The 12,008-nt window shown below is 42.2% G+C and overlaps 1 protein-coding gene across 3 annotated transcripts in view; it reads left to right on the forward strand.

Annotated features, from left to right (window-relative positions):
* Window positions 1-12,008, forward strand: part of WIPF3 (WAS/WASL interacting protein family member 3) — a 110,554-nt gene that overhangs the window by 54,810 nt on the left and 43,736 nt on the right. The window contains exon 1 of one of the 3 annotated variants that reach the window (XM_017012522.2): window positions 9,688-9,967. The exons of the other annotated variants lie outside the window; for them this stretch is intronic. Coding sequence (XP_016868011.1) covers window positions 9,911-9,967 — 57 coding nt within the window. The 5' untranslated portion in view covers window positions 9,688-9,910. Of the gene's footprint in view, window positions 1-9,687; window positions 9,968-12,008 lie in introns of those variants that run through there. 3 annotated transcript variants of the gene reach the window in all.

Here is a 12,008-nt window from a genome sequence, read left to right on the forward strand (position 1 = left end):
CACTCATTTACTATATTTGCTTATATTTGACCTTTTGTCCATGAACATATGGACATAACAAATATTTTCCTAGGAAAAGAAATGTAACTTTACAAGAGAGATTTTTCTTAAATACACAGGGCAAAGGGGTGGTGGCAGGGGTACTGCACAGTCTTAGTCCTGCCTTCCTGCCTCCTTTCCTTTGTTTTCTCTTCGTTGTGACCTGTTAGCATAGTAGTTTATACTACCTTCTATTTGCCATTTATTTATTTATTAATATATTGCTTGTTTATTGTTTCTTTATTATAGATATTTGTCCTCTAAAGAGCAGCAGCCTGAGTCTGTTTTTGTAGAGAACTTAGACCAGAATGGTTGTGCTTAATAGAAGAAGAAAGTCAAACAAGTACGGATTGAATGGCTGGCGTGCAGGGTCACTGGGCTTATGTGGTGAAAAATGAAGGAACTGACATTTACCCCTCAGGGTTGTTGGGAGACTCACATGCCATCATATCTAGGGACAGACTTATAAGCTGCAAATGTTTGCAATCATAGGACACTGATGTTGTTGTCATCGTTATTTGGGGAAAATCAGGTAAATGAAGAAAGATTCACCAGAGTTTTCAGAACATACTTCATGGAAAAGATATATTTGAGCCAGACAGAGCCATTGTCCATTCTTACGCAGAAGAGGGACTGATGGCATTTGGGGAAGATTTATCTGGAAGTGTTTTTGCAGCAATTCAGCCATGCAGTAGCGGGAAGCCCTGGTGTGGTTGCTGACATGGGAGGGGAGGTCATTCTGGCACTCCATGGTGTCCACGGGTCCCCTGAGGCATATAATTCATGGGGCATTTTCTTCCCAGAACACATCCATTTAGATTCCTTGCTGGCAGCACCTCCTGGCCCACTTACCTTATTCTGTGAAGGCCTCACACACACACAAACTAGACCATTAGACAACTCAGCTTGAGTTCAAGATGAGGCTGGGGGAGATGCTCCTTCTTTTTCCTAGGGAAAATGTCAGACTTGGTTGTTTCCGGATGTCTAAACTTTCTCATATGATAAAAGATACTGTAGGGCCAGGAAATGATAAAAGGTCAGTAAGACATGGGATAGTCGGCAAGGATGGTCACTTGGGCTGGGAAAGGCCTGGTCATTTGTTGGCCTGGGGATATATTATCATCTCTGTCCTGAAAATGAAAAGAAATTAGAACTGAGCAAGTGGCCCAGTGGGCATATCAAATTTTTATGTGTCCATGGTTAAAAAATGAGCTGTGCAAAGAGTCGGCAGTGAAAGGAGCAACATTGCAAGCGTAGTTTGTGTCCGTTAATGGGGCTCACTGTTTTGGCCAGGGTGTAAGAGAGATAATAAGCTTATTGCAGTGTGTTGAGTTTAAGTTGCAATCTCTAAATAATATGCCAACACTGTTATTTCTTTATTTATCACACTGAGACATCATCTGTTGACTTGCTACTATGAGTGATGAGGATTTAGCTTCCTTGAATCATCCCTCTTCTCTTCTTCCCCACCTTCCTCCTTATTTTTTTTATCCTTATGGCACTATTTTTACTTCCTTTTGTGGTTACCTTTGTAACTTTAAATAATACACTGAAGCCTCTGTTGCTTTTGGTCAGCTTTTGACAGCATTCTTTCACCCTCTGTTTTGTGAAATGAGGTTGTGGTGCCTCTCCCTTTTGCTACATCTCTTTTCTATCTTCCATGTCCCAATTTTTCTCAACTGTATTTTTTATTTTGTTTGTTTTTATTTATTTATTTTGAAATTAACATATAGTAAGACTGACTTTTGCAGGGGAGGGTAACAACTTTGTAAATTGCAACACATGCATAGATTTATGTAACTACCACCACCATCAGGACACAGTGCAATTCCATCACCCCTAAAAACTCCATCGTGCCACCCATTTGTAATCACACCTTCCTTCCACCCATAATCCATGGCAGCCACTGCTCTTCCTTTATTATCATTATTATTCCATTGCTGGGTAGTAGTCCTCAGCTTATTAATCTATTCACCTCCTGAAGTACATTTTGGTTGTTTTCAGTTTTGAGCAATTATGAATAAGGCTGATCTAAACATTCATACATAAGTTTTCATATGAACATAAATCTCTATTTCTCTATCATAACCAGACCATACCATCTTGATTACTGTAGTTTACAGGAAGTCCTAAAATCAGGTAATGTGAGTTATCCAACTTTACTCTTCTTTTGCAAAATCATTTTGATGATTCTAGTTCCTTTGCCTTTCCATATAAATTTTAGAGTTAGCATGTCTATATCTATTTTCAAATCTTACTGGGATTTTGATTGGAATTGCATTGAATTTACAGATCAACCTGGGAAGAACTGACATCTTTCCTATGTTGAGTTATCCAGTTCATGAACATAGCATATCTCTTCATTTATTTAGGTCTACTTTCTTTCATTAGCATTTTTTGATTTTAAGAATCCATATGCTGTGCGTGTTTTGTTAGATTTATACGTAAGTATTTCCTTTGTACTTGGAGCATATTTTAAGGTATTTTTAAATTTTTGATTTCCAGTTTTTTGCTGGTACAGTATATAGTTTTGTGTACTGACCTGGTATCTTATGACCTGACTAAATTGACTTATCAGTTCTATGAGTTTTCTACATAGAAAATCATGTTGTCTGAGAAGAGGTACAATTTTTATTTCCTCCTTCCCAATCTGTTATGCCATTTATTTATTTGTCTTATGTTATTGTACTTGCTAGAATTTCCATTATGATGGTCAGTGAGAGTGGTGAGAGTGAATGTCCCTGCTTTGTTCCTGATCTTGGGAGAAAATGTTTTACCACTAAGTGTATTGTCAGCTATAGTTTTGTTTATTTTTTTAAATCAGGTTGTTGAAGTACCCTTTTATTCCTAGTTTGCTGAGAGTTTTTATCATGAATGGATGTTGAATTTTGTCAGATGCTTTTTCTGTATCAATTGATGTGATCATGTGATTTTTCTTTTTTAGACTATTAATATGGTGGATTTTATTGATTGATTTTGAACCAGATTTTATTATATTGTATTCTCAGAATAAACCCCACTTAGTGGTAGTTTATTATTATTTCTACATATTGCTGGACTCTGTCAGTTCTTCATAGCTAAGGATAACGTTTGCGTTCAGTTGTGTAATCGTATTAAGTGTTTCCTGCTTTGTCTCTACAAATGTCTCTAAAAGTTGAAAATCTCTGAAAGACAATACTTTTAGGGTTATGAAGTACAAATACTGTCTGTATGGAAACAAATAGGATTGTATGATTGCATTTCTCTCTCTTTGTGACCGAAATACTCTCAACGCTTTAATAGGGTAAGATATGATAACTCCTTTCTTACTCTTATTAAGTTACTCAGAATCAATGTCTTTCTTGGACAATTTTCTCTTTTTCCCACATTTCAGATTCTCTATTTTTAGTAGTGGTTGAGGAAAGGGAGCCATATTCTTTCTTCCCTTGAGGCCCAGCATCGCCCAGCTTCTTAGACGTTCTCTTGCTCAGAATGTGTTCCATTCTTTTCTAATTTGAACTGGCTATTTTCTAGGCCTGCTACACAGCTGTCTTCCAGGGATTTCTTTTTATTGGATCTCTGGCTTTATTCCAGGGAATGCAAGCTTTAAAACAGGAAAAGGTGGAGTCTGCTGAAAATTATTAGGGGGAACTGATATTAATAGCTAACATTTATTGAGTAATTACCAGGTGCCAAGCCCTGTTTTAAGCTCATTGTAGGGATTGCCTCCTTTAATCTGCACTACAACTTATGTGGTAGTTATTACTCTCTTCCAAATTTTATGGATGAGGAAATTGAGGCTTCAAAAGTCAAGTAACCTGGCTAAGTTTTGCCACCAATAAATGGTGGACCCAGAATCCCAACCGAGGTGATGGGACTCTGGAGCCCTCATTTTTAACTGCAAAGAGGGGCTGTCTTGGGTGTCTTTAGGGGTGACTTACTCCACCAAGCACACTTGGCCACTGGCAGACTGGACCCAGATGCTTTCTGAAATGCAGACAGCCAGAACAGAATAGTAAATTGAAGAACTGACCCCTGAACTCAGCTCTTTCCACTATACCACACTGCCTTCTTAATAACGAGTGGGTAAATACGCTTTTGGCAGCCCAACTAGCAGGAAGAAGTGGCTCAGAGAAGAGCCAAGAATGTTGAAAACATGAACCACAGAGACACTAGGGGTATGGAGGATCACTGCAAACCAAAGAAGGACTTGTTGGGTGCAGACAGGGAAGGAAAGGCCTCTACTCTTCATTGACAGGGCCTAGAACTGGAGTGAGGCCGAGGGATGACACAGTTATAGAACACATATGCTCAGCAGCCTGGTCTGGTGACCTAGGGGCCCAATCCAGAGAGATTTGGAAGAAGGTTCTGGAATGGAAGAGAATTCCATTAGATCCAGCAATGCAACCATTTCAGGACTGTCCTTGGGCTAGCTGTGAGTCATTGTTTCTCTAGGATTCAATCCAAGTCTGGACCCAGAGGCGTCTGTTGGACTTTTCATGCAAAGGTCCTAGAAACTGACTGTAAGACAAGGAAGTCTAGGCTGGGCATGGTGGCTCACGTCTGTAATCCTAGCACTTTGGGAGGCCGAGGCAGGTGGATCATCTGAGGTCAGGAGTTCAAGACCAGCCTGGCCAACATGGTGAAACCCTGTCTCTACTAAAAATACAAAAATTAGCCGGGCGTGATGGCACATGCCTGTAATCCCAGCTACTTGGGAGGCTGAGGCAGGAGAATCGCTTGAACCTGCGAGGTGGAGGTTGCGGTAAACCAAAGTCGCGCCACTGCACTCCAGCCTGCGCGACAGAGCAAGACTCTGTCTCAAAAAAAAAGGAAGTCTAGATTCACTTACATTATCATGTATAACAGACAATACTGTGGAAACATCTTGAACTTTCTAGAAATTTTGGAATTTTCCCTTGCTTAGTTATTTTCATTACCTTTGTCTCCTTTCATATGTGAGCAATGTTCATAACCACTATTATTTTAGAGCCAACAAAGGGAGGCCAAATGCCAAAGACCCTGCATTTTGCCCTGCAGCCAATAGGGAGACAAGCAAGGAGAGAAGAGGCCCAACACTCACAAGAGAGAGGTGGACCAGCAGGGCTGCTCCATAAGAGGTTCTCTGTTACCTGACAAGGGAGTTTCAGGTACAGCTTATTTACAGTTGAGGGTATCAGCCACACAGCATAGGGTTACTCTGTGCACTTTCCATTTTAAGTGCTTTCAGTCCCCCTGCCAAGGTGGCTGCTGGCATTTAATGCACTCATCAGGCTCTTCTCAGAGCCTGTCATTCAGCCTTGGCTGTCCTTTCTGGCTCTGGCAAAAGCCTAGCACTTAGCTCCTTTGGCCCCAGCCTTCTTCGGCGCTCCACTCACTGTCTGTTTCTACCCACCCTCCCTTTTCCTTCTCTGATGCCCCTTTCCTGCCCACTCCTTCCTGCTCTGGCTCTCACACTGCTTGTGAGGCAACATCTAGCCTGGCCTCAAGCCAGAGAGCAGTGGGACCTCTCCGCTCTCCCAGCTTCAGGCCTGTCTTGTATTTCCTGGGTATAAGAGGCTGTGTTGTGATGAAGAAAGCCAAACTTGCCTGTACTCACTGCTCAGCTCTGTACTTGGTAGCAGTGGATGGTCTGCTTCACCCTTGTGCCTCATCTGTAGACTGGACATAATACTCATAACTAGCACCTACATTATAGAATTGTTCAGGGCCTTTGAAATGAATTAATACATGCAAAGCAGTTGGGACAGTGCCTGGCACATACAAATGCCTTCCCATTTCTTTTTATTATTGGTATTGTCATTGTCACCCATTGCATGTTGCAGCCGTCTTGTTAATTCCTTTACCCAAACGCCAAAGTCACCGCTGTGTGCACTCTAAGTAGAGAGAAGGAGCCGGGACTCTGTAAAAGACTGGTTATTTCAAATGAGAAAGAGAGCAAGGAGCCATAGGGACCTTTGAGGTTTCGAGCCTGGATGAATGGGGAGAAGCCCTTAACAGAGACTGAGGGCCAGCAGCACTGTGAGTTGGAAATAACAACGGTAATGTTATTTCATTAGTTTGCAAATTAATCTGCCAGGCGGGGGCATGTTTCTTTTTGATAGTACTTTTTGTCTAGAAGAAATAGAAGATATGAAACCTCACACTGTTCTAACTAGGTATTATTTATTAGTTATTCCTGGTGCCATGCCCTTGACTCCTGGCTCTGCCCCCGCCCCCTCCACACCCCAGCTTTTTTTTTTTTTTTTTTTTGAGTTCATGAGATTGTTCTTTCTAGGTCCAACTTAAGTTTGAAGATCAAATTTTCTCGTAATTTAAAATTTAGTCTTAAAAGCCTGAGAATATTGGCATCATTGTAAAGGAGAGAATGGTGCGGAATTGAATTCACATCTCTAGGGACACAGTGGCCAAAGGATAAAAAGGGTGAAGACATTAGGATGAATCAGGGCTGAAATGTGACCTCAAAAAACAGCCACTTCTCTTCCCACACCTGCGTGCTTTGTGGGAGCAGATAAATGTCAGGGGAGGCAGAGTCGAAGATCCAGGGACTAAGGTTTCTATAGAGTTCATGTCAACAAAATACTGATAGGTTGCTCACAGTTTTTTTAAGCTGGATTCACTGGTAAGAGAAAGTGGAGTGGCTTAGTTTTTGTGCTCAAAAATAAGAAGCAAGACCAATATGTAGAAGCTATAATACTGGGCAAGATATGAGCAGTGCTGTAGAGAATTAAAAACGATGTGCCTTGGCAGCGGAAAAGCAGATCACACAAGGAAAAGTTTAGTTGAGAAAGTGGAAAAAATACATTTTCTAAAGTAAACTGTATTTGGTGTCAAGAGCTTCACGGGGAGATGAAAGGTTTGGCAGATATGGCAGAGTGGGGTGTGGGGCATCCCCAGAAGAGGAGGTGGGCTGAGCACAGGCTTGGAAGTGGGAAAGAAGAGACAGGGGATAAACCCAGAGCAGCTGAAATGAGGCTCCAACTGGCCAAGGAAAGATATCTTGGGACAGTATGGCTGAATTCCTTGATTCGGTAGAGATTAGTGGGCCATTGAAGCATTTTGAGAAGAGGAGTTAATTAGCACTTTAAAAACGATCATTTGAAGGCTGTCTCAAAGAGAGATGAGAGTCCAATTTTGGAGACCAGCTAGGAGGCTCTGGGTCTAGAGTATAAATAATGAGAAGTATATATATATATATATACACACACATACACAAATATATTAAATATATGTACATATATGTGTGTATATACACACATATATACAGTGATGCATCGATTAACAAAGGGTATATGTTCTGAAGCGTCTACATTGTTAGGTGATTTTGTCATCATGTGAACATCCTAGAGTGCACTCACACAAACCTGGATGGTAGAGCCTACTGCACACCTAGGTTATGTGGTATGGCCTGTTGCTCTAGGCTACAAACCTGTATGGCATGTTACTGTACTCAGTGAATCCTGTAGGCAACTGTAACGCAGTGGTAAGTATTTGTGTATCTAACCATATCTAAACATAGGAAAGGTACAATAACAATATGGTATTATACTGTTATAGGACCACCGTCGTATGTGTGGTGCATTACTGACTGATACATCATTATGCAGAGAATGTGCACACACGCACACACATGTACATACACCCCCCAAGCACAACATCCTGGCAATCTTACCCATACTTCATCCCCACTCTTTTTTTTTTTTCATTTTTTGAGATGGAGTTTCACTCGTGTTGCCCAGACTAGAGTGCAATGGCGCAATTTTGGCTCACTGCAACCTCTGCCTCCCGGGTTCAAGAGATTCTCCTGCCTCAGCCTCCCAAGTAGCTGGGATTACAGGCATGTGCCACACACCTGGCTAATTTTGTATTTTTAGTAGAGACGGGGTTTCTCCATGTTGGTCAGGCTGGTCTCGAACTCCCAACCTCAGGTGATCCGCCCACCTTGGCCTCCCAAAGTGCTGGGATTACAGGCGTGAGCCACTGCGCCCCACCTGTATCCCCACTCTTAACACCATGCCTAGCACAGAGTTAGCACTCAAATCTTAAATAATATTGGGTTATATTACTATTCAAGGGGTTCGCTTTACTGATTTCTATTTACCATCTTTTCAAGCCCCTTCTTTCCAGAAGTTTCTGTGAACTACTTTTACCAGTTAAAGTAACCATCATGTGCATTTAAAGACATGCTTTTGTCTAGTGTCTGATCCACCATTTATATGTTTAATGTCCTTTTGAATTGCTAGTTATGGGGTAGTTGAGTCTCTAATCCCTGCCTCTGAAATCCATCTGTATCTGCCCAATTTACACATGTCCCAAATCTCTCTTTCTCCATATTTCTTTCTATTCTTCCCATCCCTAACATTTATTCTTATATTTTTCTGATTATTCCCTACTAAAGAGACTTAGAATTAATACTGGAATCGAAATTCTCATTGTTGCTAAAAATTAGTACTACAATATATTGCCAGATGTGCAGTTTGTAGTTAGGAAGGGATTGGCACACAGTAGAACTGCTTGATAACACTGGTTTGGGTAGGAAAAAGCTGGCATTTATACATAAACTCATGGTACCCCGTGGAAATCTGGGCAAGCTCAGCAGGCAATACTAATGAGGCCTCTGATTTTCTTCCACTGGGTGAGATGGAAAGTCATTGCAGATTTTGAGTGGAATAACATGATCTGGGTAGTAGATGCTCTGCTAAGGGTAAGCATGTTGCTCTAGGAACACAGATAGGGATCTTCATCTGGACTTCCAGGATCAAGAGGCCTCTTGGGAGACAGCCAAGAGGCAAGTGTAAAAAGAGCAGAGATCAGCTCAAGCCAAGGTCTTGAGGTGAGCACCAGCATGGAAGGCTCAAGGAGTGGAAAGTCTGGGCTGGTCACTAAGGGCCTTATGCATCGTGAGGGGATTTGAATCCTCAGGATTCAATTCAAATGGATGCAGCAAAGAATGACACAATTAATGATACATCTTTTATAAAGATTACTCTGTCTGTTGTGTGGGGGAGGGCAAGGAGACATGAAAACCACATAAGGGAATCCAGAGGTGATGAATGCCTGCTTAAGGCATCATGGCAGCGATGGAGAAGAGGTGACAGATTTCTGAGAAATCAGGAAAAACAACAGGAGTTTGCAATGGATTGGCTGTTAAGAATAAGGAAAAGGGATGAGTATGAGGTGACCTTTACATCCCTAAGCAAAGATGTGACAGCTGCAGATAGTAACCAAGTTATGAAAGTGGATGAGATAACCTTGATGGGTATGCTTGTTTTATGGGTGTAAAGAACAGGACCAGACTCATAGCCCCAAAAAAAGACCCCCTCATTTTGCTTTACCTCCAGGGAAGCAAAGGGGCACAGGGTGAATCAGCTCTGTGCTCCAGGTAACAGTCACAGTTCTGTACACTGTACTGTTTAAGATATCAGACCTTGGCCAACATGGCGAAACCCCATCTCCACTAACAATACAAAAATTAGCTGGGCGTGGTGGTGTGCACCTGTAATCCCAGCTACTCCAGAGGCTGAGGCAGAAGAATTGCTTGAACCCAGGAGAGGGAGGTGGCAGTGAGCCAAGATCATGCCACTGCACTCCAGCCTGGGCAACAGAGTGACACCCCATCTCCAAAAAAAAAAAAAAAGAATCAGGCTTTAGAAAAGAAGGTTAGCAGGTGCATTCTTTTTGAGCATGGATTGGAATTGGATATTTGGGTTTCTAAAAATGAGACTTGGAACTGTTAGATCTCAATGTACCTCATTCTAGAACAACTTGACTTATGCACATATGGGGTGCAGGGAACACTGTGTCAGACCTGACAGGAGAAAGTTAGTTTTTTAAGCAAATATTTCATGTCTCTCTTTTGGATTCCAGGTTCTCTGTGTTCTCCTACATAAAGATGGCAACAGTAGAAGGGAGACATTGCCATTCTGGCTGTCCTTGGGATTCAGACTTGGTAATGAACTGCAAACACCCTGGCTGCTGACGCCTGTCTGCCCCCAAGTTTTAGGAGACAGGGGTAGGCTGAGGGCTGGGGTGATCAGCAGGCTTGTATGCCTGGAAACCTGTGCACTAATTTTCGGTTCAATGGCCACATTGGAGAAGCTACTTTTAGGAGACCGCAAGGCTGAAATTGTATTAAAACGATAGGGTTTGGACCCTTGTTGAGAGAAATGACCCGCTAGATTAGAATCAACCAGCTAAGGTTTTTATTAGTATTTTTCACAATTACGAGTATTGGAAAGGTGAGGATGGCATATGGTGACAGGGTGCCAAATAGCAGGAGATGTGTATGTCAAAGTTTTGATCTGGGCTGGACTGTCATCTCCCTTCCCCAGCCTATGCTGTAAGGCAGTTGACTCATTTGTTGGAATGACAAATGGACATGCGAAAGCTTTTATAATGTATCCAGGTGAGAGAAAAGGCCCCTCCGTATTTTTTTTATTCTATCCTTGACTTTGTTAAGACTGTTGTTCAATTTTTGTATTTCTAATCTCACAGGCACACTTCAGGTCTGCATCCTTTATAACCAAGGGGATGAGCTAAGGTGAACGTCTATTCTACGATGGTTCATCTTTTGGGGATTCTGGGCTGTCTTTTTTGAAGCTTGCTGTAGAACTGAGTCAACAAAAGCTTTATGTGAAACCCAACAAATTGTCACTACTCAAGCACCATGTTAATGAGACAAAACAAGAGTGAACTTGGAAGTAATGTTTTGTTGGCTTCTTTTTTGTTTTGTTTTGTCTGTGTGTTTTTAGTTTTTGGTGCATAGTTTTGCCGTGGGAAAAGTGTCCAGGAATGGCTTTCTCTCCCTTGACTGTCTTTTTAGTGACGTTGCCCATGATCAGGATTGCACAACATGAAACGTTCAGTGAATATTTGAAAATCCTTTCTTTCCTGTTTCTGCATCCTGTAACCACAGTAACAAGAATTCTTGAGGTGGCAGGAGGTTTTTTAAGACAGCAAATTATGGTTGAATTGTTAATAAATATTGCAGATGAAGTGGAGAAATGACTGGTTTTGTGTAAAGTGGCCTTCAGTGTGCAAATGGATATGTCCTTTTGTGCAAAACCAATTAAGTCTAAATATACTGTATATGGTCGCTTTTGCCACAAAATTGTTAATTCCTTCCTGCCGCACAGGAGAGGAGAGGATTGGCGAACACTATATTAAGATCAGGTGAGGCCGGGCACAGTGGCTTACGCCTGTAATCCCAGCACTTTGGGAGGCCGAGGCGGGCGGATCACAAGGTCAGGAGATCGAGACCATCCTGGCTAACACCGTAAAACCCCGTCTCTACTAAAAAAAATACAAAAAATTAGCCGGGCGTGGTGGCGGGCGCCTGTAGTCCCAGCAACTCGGGAGGCTGAGGCAGGAGAATGGCGTGAACCCGGGAAGCGGAGCTTGCAGTGAGCCGAGATCGCGCCGCCACTGCACTCCAACCTGGGCGACAGAGTGAGACTCCATCTCAAAAAAAAAAAAAAAAAAAAAAAAAAGATCCGGTGAGAGAGACCTCTAGCGGGAGATCATCGGGGCGCTCATCAGGGCCGACACTGGAGCAGAAGACAGCTGAGAAGTCAGAGAGGGAATGTTAAATTTAGCCCACAAGGTTGAACTGCACCGTGTAAGTAAACACACTGTGACTTGCCATGTCCTCCTGCTGACTTGGAAGATGTTTACTAACAAATCTGCCCTGTGGAATTGTCAAGAACTTATTGAGGCATGTCCAAAGTTAAAATCATCATTTTAAGGACATGCAACGTTCTTCACAGCCCTCACCTGAAATGCCTGGCCTGGGCGAGGTCAAGGAGTGGGGGATACCTTTTGGTAATAAACAGTCTAAATTGGATGAGATGACCCTCCCCTCCAATCCCCAAGGGCTAGTGAGGGATGGGGTTTTCTCATCATTCCAGTTGCTTTTTTAAAGAAAAGAATGCACCATTCTCACCCTTGCCTTCCCTAAGGCTCCTCTGAGTTGGGCTGTGAATATTATTATA

This window comes from Homo sapiens, chromosome 7 (assembly GCF_000001405.40).
Source record: "Homo sapiens chromosome 7, GRCh38.p14 Primary Assembly".
Lineage (NCBI taxonomy): Eukaryota > Metazoa > Chordata > Mammalia > Primates > Hominidae > Homo > Homo sapiens.